Raw genomic sequence first — 23,871 nt, forward strand, 5'->3', positions numbered from 1 at the left:
TAAACTACACAACTCTCAGCCAGACCCTCAAGTCCAGGTTGAACGTGGAAAACTGGTAGTGTGTTCTTATAGATGGCATATAGATTATTAGGATGAGCAAAAATAGAGAGTGGGATCTTAAAAGAATCAGGCTTCTTTCAAAGGAAATGAAACTTTTTATAATAAAATCAAAAATTAAAACTGAGTATTTTCACTGATTATTATAGGGAGGAGTACAGTAAAAGACCCCAGATATTCAGATTTCTGCCTGGGAATAATTAGTCCTGGACAAAGCCTACCAAGAACTAACAGTCATGTTCCCTTCGAATGTCCACTTTAACAGAAAATTCTGAATCATCAGAACAGAGTCTATTTGCCCTGAATAGCTGGAAGTATTTGGAAAATTTTCAGCAAATGCAGTTAACTAAAGATATTGCCAGTTAAAGAGTTTCACCTAGAGAACATTATTGTAATAATTTTTTAGAGTCATTGTTCATATCTTTTTTTATTATATTTTAGTTCTGGGGTACATGTGCGGAATGTACAGTTTTGTTACATAGTTATACGCATGCCATAGTGGTTTGCTGCACCCATCAACCCGTCACCTACTATCCCTCCCTTAGACCCCCCACCCCCAAACAAGCCCCTGTGTGTGATGTTACCCTCCCTGTGTCCATGTGTTCTCATTGTTCAACTCCCACTTATGCATGAGAATGAAAGAAAGTATATTTTAGAGGTGAGTTATCATCCATGTATTTCAATGCATCACAGGTGCCTTAAAGTCAAGAGTTTCAGTATTGAATTCATCATTTACATCACTATCTGTACTTTTTTCAGTATCTCCAAGCTCAGTTAATAGAAATAACATTTTTTAGATCCTATGAATCATCTTAGGCCTATTTCTTACTCCCACATCTGATCAGTCAACAAGTTCTGTCAAATCTGTCTATTTCGCTTATTCATTTCCTTCTGTCTGGAACTCTCTGCCCCCAGAGGCTGACTCCTTTTTTATCATTTAAATCTCAAATCAAATGTCACTTACTGCAAAAGGTCTTTGATGACCCTCCAATCTAAAGTAGCCATTCCAACCCCAGGCACCTTCCAAAACTATTTTAATTTCTATATAACACTGGTTAATATTATAAATTCTCTTATTTTTTACTTGTCTCTCTCATTTTAAAAACTTGTCCTTGAGAACAGGAATCTTGCCTAGCTTGTTTATCTCTGTATCCTTATTGCCTAGTATTCTGCCCAGTGCATGGTATGCATTAATAGGTTGTACTTTTTAAATTCATTCATTAGAGCATTATTTCAACAAATATACTTATTAGACATTTCTATGCCCCGCATTGTGTTAGGCATAGGAAATATGGTAATGGACAAAAGTAAACCCTATCTTTGTCCTCATGTAGCTTACATTTAATCAGAGAGACAGACATTAACAGAATAACTACATAAATAAATGTAAAGTTACAACTATGAGTAATTACTTGTTTCTCTCAATCTCTATTACCATTGCATTAGTTCAGGTTATCATTATCTCATGCCTCAACTGTTAAAATCAACTGTTTCTCTGCCTCCACTCTGCCACACTCCACTCTGTTTTTCCAAAGCTAAAATGCAAATTCAATGTCACTTTCCACCTTAAAAACCATAATAACTTCAATGACATTCAAGAAAATGTTTCTACACTCCTTAAGATAATGGCCCTTCATGACCTGCCTATCATCTATCTCTCCTTTCTCTCCTCATGCTGTATGCTTCAATCACCCTAAATTACACTCTTATCTTGGGGCCTTTGTATATGTCATTCCTTCTGCCTGATACGTCTTTTTCTACTCTTTGATTAACTTACCTACTTATCCTTTATGGCTCAAGGAAGAAAAGCTCTTTCAGAAAGCCTTTTCTGGACCCACTCAGACTGGCTCTGCCATCCCTCTTATGTGCTCTCTTAGAAAAAAAAGAAGAAAATAATAATAATTTCATTGTGCTAGAATTGTTTATTTATTTGCTTGTTTCCCTTGCAGGTCTATGAGTTCCCTTATGGGGACTCACAGATAGAAATATGAATGTCTTTTATATTTCTATCTCCATTGCCTAGAGCAGTAGCAAGTATGTAGAATAAAATAGTTGGAAGAATAGTTGGATGAATAGATGGATGGAGGAATTTGCTTGATAAAACTAAAAACAAAAGTCTATAATGATATTCAACAACACAGCTTCAAACATGTACTATTAAAATATGTGTGAAAAAGCATATTGGCCAGAAGAGAAGGCTAGTGAAGCCCATTTGGATGTTTCAAATACTGTGACAGTCAGCACTCAGTAATTTGGTCACTAAATTTATTTCATGTTTGTTAATGTTAAGAAGAGAACATTAACTATCCATAGCCCTGTATTTGAAGTGTCAGAAGATAGGGTAACATGGCAATTAAATCAGCAGACTAAAAGACAATTTGCAGTGATGACACACTGATTAAAACAAAGAGTATCCACTTTCTCTGGTCTTCAGTGAGGAACTTTGTAACTGAAGAAGAAAATTCATGGTTACAAGTTATTTGTCACTGGATATAAGGAATTTCTAACAAGCAGAGTCAATACCCTATCATGTATTAAGGAACGCTGAATATTTAAGCCAGTAAATAAAGTATAATGCTGGCTGGGTCTTACTGTGGCAACTGGGAATATATGACAACTATTGCTGTCCTGAGAAAACAGTGACAATTATTTCTAGGGAAGAGGAGCATAAGGGCACAAAGATTGCTGGTCCTTGAAAAAAATCTCAGCATCTGTTTGCCATGAGAAAGTTGTTTGTTGCCATTAGCCTTTAGGGACAGAATGAGTAAACAACAAAAGCATAAAAATAAGGTGACTGGTTATTTCACCTGAGAACATCCCAGTGGAGGGGAACTACTTCCACCCTACCCGCAATGAACCTAGAGAAAACAACTTTCCTTGCTTGAAAAGGGTAACTTAAGCACCAGGGCAGGTGCTTATATATCAGCGATGGTTCCAGTAGAGGCTTCAGTTGACAAGATGGTCAATACGACATCTGCACAACATGCAGCCAGTATTCGTTTAAAATGTACTCAGTTTCAGGCACTCGGTTGCATGATGCCTATCAGAAAAAACGAGCTAAGGGTAGCTATAAGAATACAGCTAAGGTGAACTTTTGAAGTGCCAACACTAATAGGCACCAGATTCCTACAGCTAAGGAACTAAGGCCCTTGAGAGCATCCGAATAAGCAAGCTGCTGAAGACAGTTCCTTTTTTTTTTTTTTTTTTTTTTTTTGAAACGGAGTCCCGCTCAGTGCCCCAGGCTGGATGGAGTGCAGTGGCCCGATCTCTGCTCACTGCAAGCTCTGCCTCCCGGGTTCACGCCATTCTCCTGCCTCAGCCTCCCGAGTGGCTGGGACTACAGGCGCCCGCCACCATGCCCAACTAATTTTTTGTGTTTTTAGTAGAGACGGGGTTTCACCGCATTAGCCAGGATAGTCTTGATCTCCTGACCTCGTGATCTGCCCGCCTCAGCCTCCCAAAGTGCTGGGATTACAGGCGTGAGCTACCGCGCCCGGCCCGACCGTTCCTTTTATGTAAGTGATAAAGATAAACAGCGCTATTGAACAAATACCAGTCACCTCAGGAGTGACCTGGCCAGGATAACCTCAGATTCACCAGCAGTAATGAGTGAAAACAAAGCTCCCTAGGTGTCTCTGCCAAATGGAAAATAACATTTTGTGGCAGATAGAAAGTTTGGAAAGAAATAGTTAACTATGTCTGAAGGTACCTGTAACTTTCAATAGTGGATCAGTTACCATTGGGCAAGATGAAACATTCTCAAATGGCAAAAGAATGAAGCACAAGATAAATTCAACACAATGCTCTTGCTTTAGTATATTATTATTTCTAACACTCAAATGTTGGAAAGGAAGAGCCCAGGAGGGTGAGTCTTCTAATGATAAAGGTTTGTTGTGTTTGTCTATTTTGAAATCACTGCACCTGAAAAGAAAACAATAATAGATGGTGAAAGTGAGAGAAAGAGGAATCTTCTCCTTACTTTATCTCCACTAAGGCTAAGAGCTCTTTATGGGAGCTGTGGTTTTGAAAGGAGACAGAGTTGTTGTGTCAAAGGTGGAAGAGGACTAGGGTCTGCAAGTGGAGCATCAAACTGGAGGGAAAGTGGAGAACCAGCAAAGTGTGAACTCAGCAGCAGGCTTGGTGATGAAAGGGTATATCGTTTTACCCTCCCAAAGTGAACTTAAAGAATATTTGGAAGTTAGAATCTGATGGCATTCAGACTTTGCAAGCATGGACCTTCTGATTCCAAGGGTTATTTATCATTTTCTATTCCTAAATCTTCTTGCTATAATTGTGGCTAAATAAGAGGATATTTACATCTTATAAAATGAAAGCATCAGAACATTCTTAAACATCATAATAATAAAAATCATAGCAATAAGCATGCCTTATAGTGGTGTCATTCAAAGCAAAGTTTCCCCTCAATTAGACTCAAAATTAATTCATTAGCACTGAATGTCAGTTCTGCATTAGTGCTCCTTTGGTAATGATTACTCACTGCCAAGGCTCCATTAAATTTCCAGTTAGAAATGATGAATGTGTACCTCTATTTATCACTGCTTGTGATTTTATGAGTTATTTTTAGAATAATAATATTTTTAGCAATGTATCTATTGTTTTTCCAACATTTCTTAATCAACTAAGCCTTGGAAAGTTTATATATATTAAGCTCACAGTAGGAGTAAAATGTCATATATTTTTCAGACTCTTTGAGACACTGGAATAAATAAACTAGCAAAGTCTCTATTACAGAGAACTTTATAAAATTATCATACACCTCAATGTCAAAGGAATTTAGAAATGTGAAAAAATAGTTTTTATTTTCGTTCTGATTATGATTTTATTACAAGTTCTTTATTCTTTAGTCTCCTCTCTCTTTTAATATTCTTCCTACATTGAACCTTTAGTGAAGATATTGCCAACATAGGTATTTAGACATGTTATATATTTTTAGTTTTTATAGATTCTTCTATCAAATTTCCAATCTTGGGATGGAATCAGGTACACAGACTCACAACTAATAATCACAATATAGTTTTCTGAGAAGCACTGATGTAAAATAGAAAACTCAGGCTGATTCGCTCAGGTGTTTGTGAGAAAGACTGAATAACATTATACATAAGGTACCTAGTACAGAGCCATACGAAAGGATTGGAACTTGGTTTTGAAGGATGCAATGATCCACTGAAGAACATTAAGCTAGGAGTGACATCATCAGGTTTGCATTTTTCAAGGGTAACGAACAGTTATGAAGCAAATCTGAGGAAGGTGGAATTGAGGAGTTTAAAGACAAAAGGATGGGTTTAGAGACCATTTCAATAGCCTGGAAATTACGAGAACCAATTTAAATCAATGGCAGTGGAATGTGGAATACAGGGGAAAGATACAAGGTATGCTTAGGAGATAGAGTCGAAACATTTAGTAAATGACTGAGTTTGAATTGAGAAAGGTTGTAGGAAAAGAGAAATCAAGGATAACACACTGGTTGTTAACTTGGAAGACTTGGTGCTTGATGCTTGGGTGAATTATTATGCTATAAACAGATGCAAAAAGTTTGAAGAAACTTAGAGGATAGGACAGGTACTAGATTAAAATAATGAGTTTCATTTTGAATATGTGAAGTTTTAGTAAAATTCCATAAAATTAAATTAAGTAAAATTTTACTTCCATAAAAGTAAAATTAAGAGGTCCAAGAGATACACAGATCCAGAGACCAGAGAGAGGTCTAGAGTTAGAGGTATGAGAATCATACCATACCATTTATTATTTTACGCCCAGAACAATCAAAAACATCTTCTGAATTTCTGGTTATAGAAGTATAATTAGATTTATTGAAGTAAGCCAACATGGTGGACTATATTATGAAGCCATTAAAATTGTTTTTTAATGATGGGACAATGCTCAAAAGATAATATTAAATCAAATTTAAAAATGCAAAATTTTGTACAATAAAATTTCTATTATTTAAATAAAATGGGCCTTAAAAAGATGGAAGGAAAATAATTAAACAGTTATAATGCTCACATTAGGGTTAAGAGTTTATGGTAATTTTTCTTTTTTTTCTATGAATCAATATTTTACAAGTTTTCTATGTGCATTTCTTAAAAGTCATTTTAGGGTAAGGATAGGCTCTTGGAAAGATATTGATTAAACTGAGTCTAAAGAACTGATAGAGTTGAGTCAGATGAAGAGAGCGGTGTTAGCAGAGGTACAAAGGTGAGGAATATAGTGTGTACTTGAAACTATAAGCAGTTAAGAGTTGGTGAAGTATAGAATGATGGCAGAGAGTCATCAGAGAGGAAGCTGAATAGGGAGAGATGGTCACACTGTGGGGGTTTGCTACATTAAAATTATATCCTATGTGCTCTGGGAAACTCTTGAAGAAATATACATAATGCATGTATTCATTTGCTAGGACTGCCATAACAAAGTGCCACAGACTTGTTGGACTAAACAATAGAAATTTATCTTCTTATAGTTCTGGAGGCCAGAAGTCCAATATCAAGGTGTCAGCAAGGTTGGTTTCTTCTGAAGGCGCTCTCCTTGGCTTGTGAATGGCCATCTTCTCCCCATGTCTTTACATGATTTCTCTCTCTATCTATCTATCTATCTATATATGTATGTATATATGTACATATGTACATATATATATATATATCTTAATCTCCTGTTTGTATAAAGATATCACTCATATTGGATTACGGTCCACCCTAGTGACCTCATTTTAACTTAAATGCTGCTTTAAATACCTTATCTTCAATATAGTCTTATTCTGTGGCACCAGGAATTGAAATTTCAACCTATGAATTTTGAGGGAACACAACTCAGCCCACAACGGGGAGTGATGTGGTTAAATTTCATTTGGTAATCATGTGGAGTTTTGAGAAAGAAGAGATAAATCAATAGGTTATTGTAATAATCATGGAATCATGGCAAAACTCGGATTATTCTATAGAACTTTGTTAACAGAGATGGAGAGAAAGGGACAAATTACTGAAATATTTAGGAAATAAAATTGGCACAGGATTAAGGTTACTTGGATGTTAGAAATGAGAGGGAGAAGCCTAATCTAGGTCTCTGGATTTCTGATGTGAATGACCCAGTAGATGGTGACATCATCAATGAAGGTTAAAAAAAAATCCAAAGTAAGAAGCTTGTTCAGAGAGGAAATGATGAATTCAGTTTGAGGAATCCAATTACATTACCTGAAATACAGTTAGATAGAGGACTCTGAAGCACAAAGACAGATAATTGGGCTGGAAGTCTAGATTTTGTCTTTACTATTCTCATATGTTATGTGAAACTATGAGAGCCCATCCTCACATACCGAGTGATAAGAACAATATACTTAAAAGAAAAGAAAACCAACATTTATGGGACAGGCAGAGAACAAGCCCCTGAAAGAGACAGTAAAGTATGAGGTGAAGCAGGAAAGGCACTTATCATAGAGTCCAAGAGAGTAGAGAGCTTTGATATAGGGAATAATCAATAGAGATCCCAAAGGTAAAGATTGATAAATGTTAGCTGGATTTGAAATCAGAAGGATTTTTGGACATTTATACCTAATAACAATTCCTTAGGCTTTCATGTGCTAGCCAATGGATAAAGCATGGCATGTGTATGATATTTCATTTTGAGATTCATTATAATAGATCAAGGAAACTGTCACTATGTCCATTTTACAGATTGCAAAGATTATATCTCAAGACAGTCAAATATCTTGCCTAAGTTCAGCCTGAGAACAGCAAATGTGGGAGTCAGTTCTAGCTTTCATCTTACGTTACCAAAGCAGGTGTGATAAGTGGATGGGCTCTAAATTCAGAGAGCAGTGGGGCAATGAATGAATGGTTGGTGAGGAAGTAAGATAGACTGCCCTTTTCAGCAGGGGAGAAGGTTTAGTACATTGCCTACACACAGTAGATGCTCAATAAACTTTAGTTCAGTGAACAAGAAATAAATGTCAACGTGTGCTAGCTATCAGGTTTACAGGTTAGGTGTGGAAGAGGAGGTAGCAGAGGTGTCGAGTACACACAGCCCAAGGTTAAGGAGCCAGTAGAGAGAATAATGCCAAAGAAGAAAAGGGAAAATTTAGCAAACCAGGTCCTTCATAGAAGAGGTTGATTGAGCCTGGTATCAAGTATAGAAGCAAGAATTTTACCTGAGTAGATGGACTCCTTCTTTGAGATTGAATTAAAAAACAGTGAGGTATAGAAATAGGTGTATAGGGACAAAAGGCAAATTGTTTCATCTCCCAACAATCCCCTCCATATTAAGCTCCCTTATGAAAAAAATATCTCACCATTCCTAATAAGTTATTTCCTTTAAAGTTTTAATAAATGTATACATGCAATTCCCGATGCCTAGAATTCCTTCTCTTTTTTTGTATAGTAAACGCTTATGGAGAAATAAAGACCCAAATTATAAGTTAGCTCTTAAAATTATTTCTTGAATTCTCCCAACATTCTATCACTCCCTCCATTTTCCACCTCTTAGAGCACTCACTCCCTCTTCTGTAGAGGCTTGGAAGCCATAGATAATTATGCTTCCATTTTTTATTAAGCCTTTTGAAACACTTTAACATATCAACAAAATATTTGAAAATGTTATAAGGTATGTCTTAGAGCAAGCATGACGTAGCTTGAACACAATTGCATGTATTTAGCTCAAACTTTTATATGCCAACAATTATATGATGTAAATTTTCTTAATGGTTAGCTAAAGACTGCTCTAGCTGATGACTGCATTTTGTAATAAAAATATATTCTTAATTCATTGACTTTTAATAATGTTATACCACAAATGATGCATAAATTGGGAAAGTTTATACAATGTATTTTAAGAATAAAATGTTGCTTGCCATTATAAAGATTTATGTATTGATCACCTTGATGTTTAAAGAAAATGATGTATACGTATGCCCTATCTTCAAAGCCAAATTGTATGCTGTAATACCTTAAGCTTTCAGCTGGTGTTAAATTTTGGCTGGTTCAATAGTGGGCTGAGACTATTGATTGCTATATTACTGTTCTGTTAGACAATTTTATTTTTGAATAATCTATATGCCCTATGAGAAGATCAAATGATATGGCAGAGAGATCTGAGACAAAACACTAAGATTCAATTGTTTTAAGTTCAGCAGGATTAAGTTGCACGTTTCAGAATCATTCAAAAATGCACCGAATGCATAATTATATTCAGTTTGTGTTTGAATTTGAGCTATGTAGCATGATCCATGTGTAATTTATAAAATATAGTCGAGTATTTAAAATATAAAAATATAATATTCTTTGTAATATTTTACACATGCTGTTATTTTCCTTATATCAGCAAAATAAGAATGTGAACTTTATAAACATACATTGAGAGAGTTAAGATAATCATGTGAAATGGCTATATCAATCTGTAAACACCTCTTTTAAATGACTATTTCATATTCCATCCAAAAATAAACACATAAAACCCAACTTATAGCAAAATCCATGAGACAAAATATTCTCACAAGGAATCTGTTTATGTATTGCCTGTCAATTAAACATGAAGCTAAGTAATTTTTGTTCAAATAATCTATGTATGTTCCCAGTGTACCTATTATATACATGAAATTGTTCAACCTTTAGAGTATTTGCCAAATTTTTCTAATGTAAGTAATAATTATATGGATTTTAGAACTACACTTCTTACATTCTATTGTGAAAATATTTTAAGATTCATGTGCACTAATTTCAGTTGTATGCAAAAATACTGTAATGAAACATTATATTTTCATTTTTTAATGGAAAATATACAAGTCTCTTTAGATGGATCAAAAAGAAATTTCTAATGCAGCTAATGTGTTCAACCATCCTTTAATATTCTGTGTAGCCATAATTGCATTTGTCTGAGCATATCCAACGTTTAAATTAGTACAAGTTGGTAAAGTTGTAGCATTTAATTAGTTTGAATAAATGTAGTACATAAAAAATTGTAAACAAAATATGTGTAAGTTATTAATTGAAATGTGATTGGTGGCTTTTCTGGAAGAAATGGGGAGAAACTTAAAGTAGAGTAATAGCATGATTAATTTATTCAGGATGGTTTCTGCTGAAAAATTATGTTCAATAAGAATCTGTCATGACTTATGATCATTTGTTACTCTACAGTATATCAAATATAATGGAGTCAGGTGCACAAGCTGTAAAAGCAACTGTTATAAAAATGCCAATTTCTTAAATTAAAAAGGTGGTTACTTAAATGATTTAATTCCAAATACCCATACTTTATTAATTTGAGCTATTGCTGTATCTAGAGATGATAAATATTTTTATAAATGATTTTGTTCTCATATATACATTTATCATTCTGCATTCAAGTCAATGGTTTTTAAAATTTCCTCTCAAGATCCAAATTACACATATTTTCATTAAAACATGGAGATGCCTGGCAAAAGTTGCTATTTAAATATTTAACAGAAAAATAAATGGGAAGAATAATTATTTGTTTACAACCCAAAACATTATTTCAGTCAAAATTCTTTTAATGTAATAAAATGTGTTCTTCTACAGTTTGTTCATTTACATATACCTCTCTCATTGGTGTCTTTCAATGATGTTTTCTCATATGAGATCTTTTTCAAACACTATGGAGATTAAACTGAATTATCTTAATATGATTTGAGCTGCTATACTGGAGAAGAAAATTTCATAGAAGGGAAATTCATAAATTTTGTCATTTTCAGAGAGTGTAGGGGACATTAAAATTCATAGTAAAATATCAATGTGTCCATTTCTATTATGCCTTAAACAGTATGCGTTAATCATGCTTGTTATCTCAGAGAGTTATTGGAAATGAGTAGAAGCTTGGAAGTGATAGTGTAAGCAAGTAATTTTCATGACAATGGCTTATCACCTGATGATCATCATATGAAAGTTTTGCTTGCTCCTTTCAGGGGGTGTGCATGTTTTTCGTCATCTGGCCCAATTCCACTCTGAGTTTAATTTTCTGTTTTTATTTTATCTAACATTTTTTCCTAATCCTAGAACTATGCCTCTTTACAAAAATATTACTTAAAACCTATTTCTACAGAATTACATTAAAACAAGTAAACTTTCTACCTCCCTGTACTGTAAACCAATTGGTAATTATTTTAGTCACCTTCTGCATTAGGAGTTCCATCTTTTGGGCATTGAAATTGATTTTTTTCATCTTAGCATCTGAAGATCCAGAGTGTGCCCCTTGCCCAATCGCCTGAGACTATACAGTGACACCTACAACAGAGGATGTGGAGGGAGCAGCTTTTCGGGCACCAGAAATGGCAGCATCAGGAGCATCAGCACGAATAGACTTTGTAGAGGTAGTTCTCCCAAACTATATTATGAAACCAAACATTTTTGGTGCGCTACCTGCTGATGGGGGCTGCCTTCTTACTGCCTAGTATCTACAAAATGTTTGGTCTTTGTTAAAGTTTAACGATGACATTTCTGACTAATATAGAGAGACCTGATTTTTTTCCAAATGTGTTCAGTTGCCATAACTTTCAATGAATATGAAATTTTATCAGTCTCAGAAAAACATTAATACCCATATTTTTATCTAATTGATTTCACTATTTGTTATGTTAAGGTGCTTTTGTGTATAATTTTTGTATATATTTTTAAATGGGATCAAACTAAGCCATAATTTAAAAGTCATCCTAATGCAGTAAATAAGATAATTTCTCTAGTTTGTTAAATTCTTCAGAGACCGAATATAATTGCTCGTTTTTCTGTCATACTCCCTGATGATGTTCCATTGTGGACTTATTTTGCAAAGTTCCCAGATGGCACAAGTCAAAATATGAAATGCTGATGATTGATTGATTTTATGTATCCTTTCATCTTATGTAATTTAATGTGGAACAGTTATTTTGTAGCTCTAAAATACATTTGTTAATTAACCATATTGGCTTTTCATGCAGTTCAATGGCTTATAGCATTTCAATTTGCATAGAAAATGAATCTCTGTAATGATACTTTTGCTAAATAAATAACAATCGACATAATGGGTTCATTTGCTTTTAACATTTTATACATACAATTTAGAAGTAGGATATATTTCATATTGAAATTTTGAAAAGCTTGAAATTCAACATACAAGGTCACCATCTTGCTGATGCCTAATGCAGTACAGCAAATTCATTCTTCATCCCATGTTAACTCCTTTTTGGAACAAGTCAAAATACAAATAATTTACAATGATTGTGTTGGAGCTATTGCTTGATTAAATACAATTCAAAGGTTCTTTTTATAAAACAGGTGTGAGCAGGACACATTGCACTTACGGGCTTTTCCTATTTTTTTGGTTCTATTTCATTTTACTGCCTAGGAAAGAAACATTTTTTTGTAAAACCTATGCTATGGAACTGAAATGTACTTTATTGAATATTTCTATTCTGTTTTATGAATATCAATTATGTGAAATATATAAATATAAAATTGCCTTAGAATGCCTAACTCTTTGTATAAAACAGATATCTGAAAGTAGATGTTGGTTTTTTGTTCAAATTGTGTAAATGCTGATTTTTCCATGAGTACTTATGAAGATCTATATGTAAAAATTTTAAGTCTGCTTACTGTGTTTGTACCACCTTGTTCTTAGCTGTGTATACTCTATGCTAATTGACTTCTGTCATTGTCACATATATTGCATATGTCTCTCAAAAATTAAAAGGTATATTGCTATTCTAAAAATAAAAAATGTAAATTCCTGACATTGCTGTAGAATAAGTTGCACTATCTTAGTGTAGTTTTATAATGTGTTCTTATGAATTCTCAGTGCCCTTCAAATGCCACCAATTTATTCAGCTTTCCGAAATTTATTTTAGAGATTACTTAAAAAGAGATTGCTTAAAACATTCTATGTGAAAGTAGCTTTAAAGATTAAAGAAACATTGCTGTTTTGACTTTATGATGTTCTAAGGAAGAAACTGGACCTTTCATTATTAAAGCTTAAAAATCTTATACAGCAGCAATAAAAGTCTGCATCAGTGTGCAGACTGTTGAATAATTAACCTTACTGCAGTAAACCATGTTGCCTTTCTGGTCTCGATAATATATAACAATTGAAAACTTGTATGTGTAGCATAAAGGAAACTTTTCTTAATGAAAAGAAATTAACAAGTAAGTGGAATAACTGTTATCAAAGCTAAAGTTCTTTAAAACTTAATCAGCAGAAGTGATTATAAAAGTAAAAGGTTAAAATAAATACAATTGAATATAATATATGATTTATTTTGCCCACTGTCCATGTTATATGTCCTGGTTAGTGCTTCAACAATCATAAGTGATTGTAAATTCATTCATAATATTTGTGTGACTCTAATCTTTTATTCTAAGAGGAATTATGCATACCAGTTTAACAAAATACTGCCTGTGTTTATCTGTGACGTTTCATATATTTTCAGCCTCAATATATACTTTTTAAAAAAAACAGGTAAAATGATAATAAGATGAAATATTTTTATATGCATCTATATTGAAATAATTGTATTGAACTGTCTTTTATAAATATATTCTATTGATTTTACATTCATGAGTAGTAGGATATGCATATTAAGCCAAAATTTGGCTAAACATATTCAGTAAAGAAAAACAACAACAAAAACGACCCCTTAAGAAGAAGGCAGTACAGTATGTGGCTACCCATTCTGTACGATACAAATACCATACAACCCTTTCCTTCTTCATAATATTAGACTACTCTCAGGAACGTGGGGCATGATGTGAACAACACTCTGTATTGCCTTTCATCATTTTATTGGCATCTCATGAAGAGAAGCCAGTTGTTATGCCTTTTAGGAGTGCCTCAGAGAATAGAATACATATGCCCGTATATTTCTCAGAAGTTACGGGTTTCTGGAACTTTGTTAAGAATTTCATAACTGTATTCTACCAGCCATATTTTTTGTCCATATCAAATTTTGCCAATTAAGGTTCCTGCTATTTTGTCTTATCTTTTTAATCAAATCAACTTTTCTTGAGCCAAAACTGGCAGATCTAAATTTTGTCACCAAAAATTATGATTATTTTATCAGTTTTTAAAGGGAAGGCATGTTAGGCATAGTCAGTTTTATTTGTGTCACTTGTTTCTGCCACTAGCAATCAATATAAGTTAATAAAGACTGATAGTCTATATTTATTCATTGGCATAAAAAATACTATTACCAGGGCAAAAATATAGCATCTGGAGGTCTAGTAGAGTAAAAATAATAATTCCAGAACAGATGGGTTTAGAACAGCATGAGAATGTGGAAACTACGTCTTGCTCAAATCTCAATGAGGTAAAAATCTTTTATTAAACCAGTAATTCTTCCAACCCTCACACACGTACAACTTGCTTTGATTTCAGCTGTATTTTACATATAGATAGAACATCTGAAATCCAAGCTCTTCATCGCCTCTTGTGCTTGGGCAAATTTTAGAGAAATGCAAATCTTTAATTCAATCCAATTCAATAAACATTTGTTGAGGACTGACTGTGTGTCAAGCACAAGGATTAACACTAGAAACACCATGTACAAGGAGTCCCTGCTGTTTAGAAGCTTAAGGTCTGATAAGGAACAGAGACAAGTGAAGCATTATATTCAGTACAGCATAGTATATAAGATTATGGAGATGTGATGAAGTCCCAGAAAGAGTACAGAGAAGTTATATTTCTTAGTCCTATCTGTAAAGTCCAGGTGAAGCCTGAGGAGTCTTTCAAACCATAAATTGGAATTTTAAAATGGGCAAAAGGAAAATGAGTGTTACTCATAGAGAAAACCCCATGTTACAAGGGGTTGATATGTAAAATAGAAAGCACGAGGAAGGAGTAACCATGAGGTAGACAGAGAAGAAACTGTGAAGGGGCTCTCATGACATGGTTAGACTTTATTTTCTGGGCAATAGAGAGGTTTTGATGAAATGGTTTTAAGCAGCGGAATGACACGTTAGATTTGTAAGTGATGGGATAACATTGGCTAAGTAAGAATTCAAACTCCTTGCTAAGCAAGCAAATAACAAAAGCCACTCTGGGCCAAGTGTAGTGGTGTACACCTATAATCCCATTGCTTTGAGAGGCCAAGGCAGGAGGATCACTTGAGGCCAAGAGTTTGAGGCTACAATGAGCTATGATCACACCACTGCACTCCAGCCTGGGCAACAGAACAAGACCCTGTCTCTAAAGCTACTTAGACAATTCTTTTTTTAAAAAAAACCAGTTTTATTGAGGTGTGTGAAATACATACCATAGAATGAACTCATTTTAAGTGTACAATTCAATATTTTTAATACATTTATAGAGAAGTGCAATTATCACCACAATTTAATTTTGGCCATTTCTATTATCCAAGTGCCCAAGTTCTTCCTGCTTATTCACAGTTAATCCCCATTCTAATCTCCTTTCCTACCCTAGCCCCAGGTAACTACTAAACTGCTTTCTGTCTTTATACATTGTCCTTTTCTGAACATTTCATATAAGTAGAATTATTCATGTAGACATCTTTTATGTCTGGTTCCTTTCACTTAGCATAACACTTAGCATAACCCATAATAATCTGGCATAACCTGTAGTGAGGTTTCTGCCAGATTATTATTAGACAAACAGAATAGACATATTTTACTCCTAAAGAGACTATGAACACTGGGAAAACAACACGTGTGATAAGGATGTGGTGTGAGACTATCAAAGGTGTAGAGGAGACAAGAAATTGAGGGACCAAGATAGGACAGGATGGCAGGGAAAAAGAGTCAGCTGGAGTAGAAGAATCAGAAGTGCAGTTATGTGAAAGTAGAAGAAAACAAGTCAAGATATTTTAATAAAATTTGCTGAAGACTAAAGATTTGAACTGTATTGCCTTCCTACCTTAAAGATTTAAAACAGGTATTTGTAAAGATTGGACTTCCTGTTTGTCGTTACTACTAGATTCTAGATACTACAGGTATCACAAGCTTCATTAGTTTCTTGGAGAAGTAAAGTCACTTCTCCAAAGAATCCTTATCTTAGAAAAAAAAAAAAAAACAAGAATGCTCTTAAATAGTGACAGACTGACATCTGCATTTAAAACATAAAGGGGCAAAAGTGCATCTAGAACAAGCTGTATTATCTTTGAAAATCCACTGTGGAGCCAATGGGACATTTTGATAGTCACACTGAGATTGGAGATACAGTGTTTTTAGAGAATGCACGACTGATTTAAGAATGCTTGTTCAGATGAAGAAACAGACTTAGGTGGCATGATGAGGTCATTCAAGTCGTAAAAATTTAAAAATTCTTTCTGCAGGAGAAGACAAGGCTTCTGGCAGATTTTCTGAGTCTATATTCAAGATCCACCCCACTAACTGAGAATGGCTGCCTTGCTGATTTGACTGTTACTGTAGAACTGAAGATAAAGCGAATTTTGGAGTTGTTTGTGTGATCTACTAGTTACTAGAAAAATCACAGGTTTATAATGCAGCTAATGGGATAAACAGACTTTGATTTTAGGGCAGTGAAGACTCTCTGCATGATGGATAATGATACTATATATATAAATAAATGTATATATATATAAAAGAACAAGCTGTGTGTGATATATATTTACTCTGCTATGTATAATATTTATATATAAATATATATTATAAAATGTATATATACATATATTTATATATATGGTGTACATTTGTCCAAATCCGTCAAATATATATTATAATCCATCCATGATGGATACATGTCATTATACATTTGTCCAAACCCATCAAATGTACACTGAGAGTGAACCCTAATGTAAACTGTGGACTTTGGGTGACTATAATGTGTAGATGTAGTTTATCAGTTGAAACAATGTACCACTCAGGCCGGGAATGTGAATATTAGGGAAAGCTATGCATGTGTTCGGGTGGGGAGTATATGAGAAATCTCTGTGCTTTCCTCTCAATTTTGCTGTAAACCTAAAACTGCTTTAAAAAAAAAAAAAAAAAAAAAAAAGACTGCGCACTGGCCAGAATATGCCTGCCACTTAGTTGTTACGAGGAAGGGACAAACTCAAAAACAAAGAACCCACTAAGTAGGAAATCTGACAAAAATTTCCAGGCCTAATGTCATGACTGGCCTCAGGCCAAGAACTCTCTGATGAATGAAATTGGAGTCTCAGAAGACAGCAGCAAAGACGGTTTCTGAGAGGCTACTGAAAGGACCCTCTCTCGAGAAACCACATCTCCAAACCCCTAGGAGTGGGAAGTGGTCCTGCCAAGCACGGTTCCTAGAGGGGCCCAGGGGTCCGCTGTGGCCTCGGTAGGAATGAGAGATTTCTCAGCGCTGGTTGGAAATACTGCAGAACATCCAGGCGGGGTGGCACATGCCTGTAGTCCCAGCTACTCAGGAGACTGAGGCAGGAGGATTTCTTGACCCCAGGAGTTCTAGGCTGTAGTGTATTATGCTGATCGGGTGGCAACACTAAGTTTGGCATCAATATGGTGACCTTCCTGGAGCGGGGACCACTCGGTTTTCTAAGGAGGGGTGAACCAACTCAGGTCGGAAACGGAGCAGGTCAAAATTTCCATACTGAACAGAAATTCTCAGGAACAATCCCAGGTTAAGGACTGCAGATTCATTCCCTAAGCCATGGAGTCAGGGTCCCCTGCCTTGGTCAGGGTGAACGGGACAAACCCGGAACCCTGAAGGTTGGTCTTGTTTGCTGCTGTTAAAGTAACAAGGAGCTATTTTACCACCCATAAAACTAAGACTCTATTCCTTAGAAGAGAGGAGGTTAACTACTAATACGAATGTGTTTTAATTACAGGAAGTTGGTATTTCTCCGGGAAATGCTCCGAGACACTGGAGAAATGTTTGCATACGCTGGGTAGGGGAGAAAAAGAGGCAAATTAAAATGGGATGGGATAAAATGGAGATTTTTATATTTTTCCTTCCTCCTTTCCCACTTAGCTTTGTTCTCTGTGTCCACTTCCTGAGAGAAGAAAAGACAACAGTCACTGCAAGATGCTCTCAAATAAAAGTCAAAGGAGGAGAATTATTCTCTCTCGTGGGCTCCTTGTGGGAGCTGGAGGTGAGAGGACATCAGGAGCTTGCACTGTAGGACTTCAGCGCTGAGCAAGGGGATGATCAGGGCAGAAGATGGGGTAGACGTGATGTCAGGAAAGAGACTTCTTTGGGTAGGAGAGTAAGGTTTTCCTAGGAGTTTTGGTGTGCTATGCAGTCGGATAGAAAATACCAGTAAGAAGTGCTGTGAGCCAACTTCTTAGATCCTCTTAAATGTTGACAATAACCTCAGGACAGAAATTGCCATTTGGGGGTCTATGTTTCTCTAAGTAGCCTTTATGAAAATATCATGGGAGTGAATACGAAGGACAGGGAGACCAGCTGCTGTAATCATGACAAAAGAAGGAGAGTATTATTGATAATAGGGAAGAAAAAGTAAACAAAATTGGGAGACATTTTTGGAAGTGAAATTCAAAGGACTTTCATCAGAGTGTAGCTTATTCTTGTCATATATAAGGAAAAAAAGAAGAAGTTTTACAAAAACTGCTTCTAGGTTGTTCCTTAAATCAGGGCTTTACTCTGTGGCTTTGTGGTTTAATTTCAAAAGTATTTTCCAGAAAAAAAAGACACAGCCATGTTCAAAGCAACTAGCAACAAATTGCAAAGCCAGAATAATGCATCTTGCATTTATAACTGTTTTTGATTGACTTATAAATCTGCTTCCCTTTATTAGTTTGACTAAGATCCAGTCCAAATGTCAATGCCTCTTTGAAGATTTCCCTGGATCCCCAAACATGTGCACATGGGACTTTGGATATAAAATTTCTAAAATGTTATCACATCATATTTTAATTAGTTGTTTCAAGGTCTGCTTTCTTGAGCTCTTTGAAAGCGGGACTATGTCTTATTCATCATTATAGCTCCACTGGATAGAAAAGTGCTTTGTGCAAAGTTAGATTTGTTAAATGAATAGAGGGGATATGGCAATCAGAGGAAATGCAATCTTCTGCTGAGTGTCAGAAGTACTATTATATGCAATAACAACAAAATTAAAATGTCTAAAATCAGTCCCTGTATCTATAAAAATATGAAACTATTTCCAATATTATTCCTATCAAAATTTCCAATGAAACCAGTACTTGTATGTGCTATTAGTTCTAATCATGCTGCTAGAACATTGTTGAGTTTGAAATTGTTAGCATCATTCAACTAATATGCGTATAGCTGTCACTTCCGTTTGAATTATTATGACACCAAAAGCTCAGGCAACAAAAGAAAAACAAATGAGACTAACTCAAACAAAAAGGTTTTTACACAGCAAATGAAACAGTCAACAAAATAAAAAGGCAGGCTGGGTATGGTGACTCGCACCTATAATCTCAGAACTTTAGGAGGCCAAGGCAGGAGGATCACTGAGGCCAGAGTTCAAGACTAGTCTGGGCAACATAGTAAGATCCCCATCTCTACAAAAAAAAAAACAAAATTAACCAAGAGTGGTAGTGCATGCTTGTGGTCTCAGCTACTTGGGAGGCTGAGGTGGGAGGATCACTGAAACCGAGGAGAACAAGACTGCAGTGAGCCATGACTGCACCACTGCACTCCAGCCTGGGTGACAGAGTGAGACCCTGTCTCCAGATTAAAAAAAAAAAAAAAAGAACAAATACAAGGCACCCTATAGATGGGGAGAAAATATTTGCAAACTATATATCTAATAAGAAGTTAATATCCAAAATATATTTTAAGAGTTCATACGACTGAATAGCAAAAAAAAAAAAAAAGCAAACAAAAAATAACCCAGTTTACAAAATGGAATCGACAAAGGATGTAAATAAACATTTTTCCAAAGAAGACTTATGAATGACAACAAGTATATGAGAAGATGTTCAACATCACTAATCATCAGGAAAATGCAAATCAAAGCCATGAGTTATCACAGTATACCAGTTAGGATGGGTATTATCAAGAAGACTAGAGATAACTAGATATTGGAAAGAGAGTAGAGAAAAGGTAAACTGCTGAGAATGTAAATTGGTACAGCCATTACAGAAAACGGTACGAAGATTCCTTAAAAAGTTAAAACTACCATATGATCCAGCAATTCCCCTTCTGTATATATTATAACCAAAGAAAATAAAAAAATCAAAGAGAGATTTGCAGTCCCATGTTCATTGCAGGATTATTCACAATAGCCAAAATATGGAAACAACGTAAATGCCTATTGACTGATGAATGGATAAAGAAATTGCATTATATATGTACATACCTACACACACAAATATAAACACTATATAAATATCATTTAGCCTTAAAAACAGAGATTCTACCATTTGTAACAACATGGATGAAACTAGAGGACATTTTTCTTTTTTTTTTTTTTTAATTATACTTTATGTTTTAGGGTACATGTGCACATTGTGCAGGTTAGTTACATATGTATACATGTGCCATGCTGGTGTGCTGCACCCACTAACCCGTCATCTAGCATTAGGTATATCTCCCAATGCTATCCCTCCCCCGCCCCCCACCCCACCACAGTATCCAGAGTGTGATATTCCCCTTCCTGTGTCCATGTGATCTCATTGCTCAATTCCCACCTATGAGTGAGAATATGCGGTGTTTGGTTTTTTGTTCTTGCGATAGTTTACTGAGAATGATGATTTCCAATTTCATCCATGTCCCTACAAAGGACATGAACTTATCATTTTTTATGGCTGCATAGTATTCCATGGTGTATATGTGCCACATTTTCTTAATCCAGTTTATCATTGTTGGACATTTGGGTTGGTTCCAAGTCTTTGCTATTGTGAATAATGCCACAATAAACATACGTGTGCATGTGTCTTTATAGCAGCATGATTTATATTCCTTTGGGTATATACCCAGTAATGGGATGGCTGGGTCAAATGGTATTTCTAATTCTAGATCCCTGAGGAATCACCACACTGACTTCCACAATGGTTGAACTAGTTTACAGTCCCACCAACAGTGTAAAAGTGTTCCTATTTCTCCACATCCTCTCCAGCACCTGTTGTTTCCTGACTTTTTAATGATTGCCATTCTACCTGGTGTGAGATGGTATCTCATTGTGGTTTTGATTTGCATTTCTCTGATGGCCAATGATGATGAGCATTTTTTCATGTGTTTTTTGGCTGCATAAATGTCTTCTTTTGAGAAGTGTCTGTTCATGTCCTTCACCCACTTTTTGATGGGGTTGTTTGTTTTTTTCTTGTAAATTTGTTTGAGTTCATTGTAGATTCTGGATATTAGCTCTTTGTCAGATGAGTAGGTTGTGAAAATTTTCTCCCATTTTGTAGGTTGCCTGTTCACTCTGATGGTAGTTTGTTTTGCTGTGCAAAAGCTCTTTAGTTTAATTAGATCCCATTTGTCAATTTTGTCTTTTGTTGCCATTGCTTTTGGTGTTTTAGACATGAAGTCCTTGCCCATGCCTATGTCCGGAATGGTAATGCCTAGGTTTTCTTCTAGGGTTTTTATGGTTTTAGGTCTAACGTTTAAGTCTTTAATCCATCTTGAATTGATTTTTGTATAAGGTGTAAGGAAGGGATCCAGTTTCAGCTTTCTACATATGGCTAGCCAGTTTTCCCAGCACCATGTATTAAATAGGGAATCCTTTCCCCATTGCTTGTTTTTCTCAGGTTTGTCAAAGATCAGATAGTTGTAGATATGCGGCATTATTTCTGAGGGCTCTGTTCTGTTCCATTGATCTATATCTCTGTTTTGGTACCAGTACCATGCTGTTTTGGTTACTGTAGCCTTGTAGTATAGTTTGAAGTCAGGTAGTGTGATGCCTCCAGCTTTGTTCTTTTGGCTTAGGATTGCCTTGGCGATGTGGGCTCTTTTTTGGTTCCATATGAACTTTAAAGTAGTTTTTTCCAATTCTGTGAAGAAAGTCATTGGTAGCTTGATGGGGATGGCATTGAATCTGTAAATTACCTTGGGCAGTATGGCCATTTTCACGATATTGATTCTTCCTACCCATGAGCATGGAATGTTCTTCCATTTGTTTGTATCTTCTTTTATTTCATTGAGCAGTGGTTTGTAGTTCTCCTTGAAGAGGTCCTTCACATCCCTTGTAAGTTGGATTCCTAGGTATTTTATTCTCTTTGAAGCAATTGTGAATGGGAGTTCACTCATGATTTGGCTCTCTGTTTGTATGTTGTTGGTGTATAAGAATGCTTGTGATTTTTGTACATTGATTTTGTATCCTGAGACTTTGCTGAAGTTGCTTATCACCTTAAGGCGATTTTGGGCTGAGACAATGGGGTTTTCTAGATATACAATCATGTCGTCTGCAAACAGGGACAATTTGACTTCCTCTTTTCCTAATTGAATAGCCTTTATTTCCTTCTCCTGCCTAATTGCCCTGGCCAGAACTTCCAACACTATGTTGAATAGGAGTGGTGAGAGAGGGCATCCCTGTCTTGTGCCAGTTTTCAAAGGGAATGCTTCCAGTTTTTGCCCATTCAGTATGATATTGGCTGTGGGTTTGTCATAGGTAGCTCTTATTATTTTGAAATACGTCCCATCAATACCTAATTTATTGAGAATTTTTAGCATGAAGGGTTTTTGAATTTTGTCAAAGGCTTTTTCTGCATCTATTGAGATAATCATGTGGTTTTTGTCTTTGGCTCTGTTTATATGCTGGATTACATTTATTGATTTGTGTATATTGAACCAGCCTTGCATCACAGGGATGAAGCCCACTTGATCATGGTGGGTAAGCTTTTTGATGTGCTGCTGGATTCGGTTTGCCAGTATTTTATTGAGGATTTTTGCATCAATGTTCATCAAGGATATTGGTCTAAAATTCTCTTTTTTGGTTGTGTCTCTGCCCGGCTTTGGTATCAGAATGATGCCGGCCTCATAAAATGAGTTAGGGAGGATTCCCTCTTTTTCTATTGATTGGAATAGTTTCAGAAGGAATGGTACCAGTTCCTCCTTGTACCTCTGGTAGAATTCAGCTGTGAATCCATCTGGTCCTGGACTCTTTTTGGTTGGTAAACTATTGATTATTGCCACAATTTCAGCTCCTGTTATTGGTCTATTCAGAGATTCAACTTCTTCCTGGTTTAGTCTTGGGAGAGTGTATGTTTCGAGGAATTTATCCATTTCTTCTAGATTTTCTAGTTTATTTGCGTAGAGGTGTTTGTAGTATTCTCTGATGGTAGTTTGTATTTCTGTGGGATCGGTGGTGATATCCCCTTTATCATTTTTTACTGTGTCTATTTGATTCTTCTCTCTTTTTTTCTTTATTAGTCTTGCTAGCAGTCTATCAGTTTTGTTGATCCTTGCAAAAAACCAGCTCCTGGATTCATTAATTTTTTGAAGGGTTTTTTGTGTCTCTATTTCCTTCAGTTCTGCTCTGATTTTAGTTATTTCTTGCCTTCTGCTAGCTTTTGAATGTGTTTGCTCTTGCTTTTCTAGTTCTTTTAATTGTGATGTTAGGGTGTCAATTTTGGATCTTTCCTGCTTTCTCTTGTGGGCATTTAGTGCTATAAATTTCCCTCTACACACTGCTTTGAATGTGTCCCAGAGATTCTGGTATGTTGTGTCTTTGTTCTCGTTAGTTTCAAAGAACATCTTTATTTCTGCCTTCATTTCGTTATGTATCCAGTAGTCATTCAGGAGCAGTTTGTTCAGTTTCCATGTAGTTGAGCAGTTTTGAGTGAGTTTGTTAGTCCTGAGTTCTAGTTTGATTGCACTGTGGTCTGAGAGACAGTTTGTTATAATCTCTGTTCTTTTACATTTGCTGAGGAGTGCTTTACTTCCAAGTATGTGGTCAATTTTGGAATAGGTGTGGTGTGGTGCTGAAAAAAATGTATATTCTGT

General features: G+C 35.5%; 1 protein-coding gene and 1 pseudogene across 10 annotated transcripts in view; both read left to right on the plus strand.

Annotated features, from left to right (window-relative positions):
• LRRC7 (leucine rich repeat containing 7) overlaps positions 1–23,871 on the plus strand; it is a 576,443-nt gene that overhangs the window by 294,302 nt on the left and 258,270 nt on the right. For 4 of the 10 annotated variants that reach the window (NM_001366837.3, NM_001366836.3, NM_001366840.1 and 1 more), the window contains one exon: positions 11,244–12,781. The exons of the other annotated variants lie outside the window; for them this stretch is intronic. In NM_001366837.3, coding sequence (NP_001353766.1) covers positions 11,244–11,250 — 7 coding nt within the window. In that variant the 3' untranslated portion in view covers positions 11,251–12,781. Of the gene's footprint in view, positions 1–11,243; positions 12,782–23,871 lie in introns of those variants that run through there. 10 annotated transcript variants of the gene reach the window in all.
• Positions 17,369–17,672, plus strand: RN7SL538P (RNA, 7SL, cytoplasmic 538, pseudogene; annotated as a pseudogene).

This window comes from Homo sapiens, chromosome 1 (assembly GCF_000001405.40).
Source record: "Homo sapiens chromosome 1, GRCh38.p14 Primary Assembly".
Classification (NCBI taxonomy): domain Eukaryota; kingdom Metazoa; phylum Chordata; class Mammalia; order Primates; family Hominidae; genus Homo; species Homo sapiens.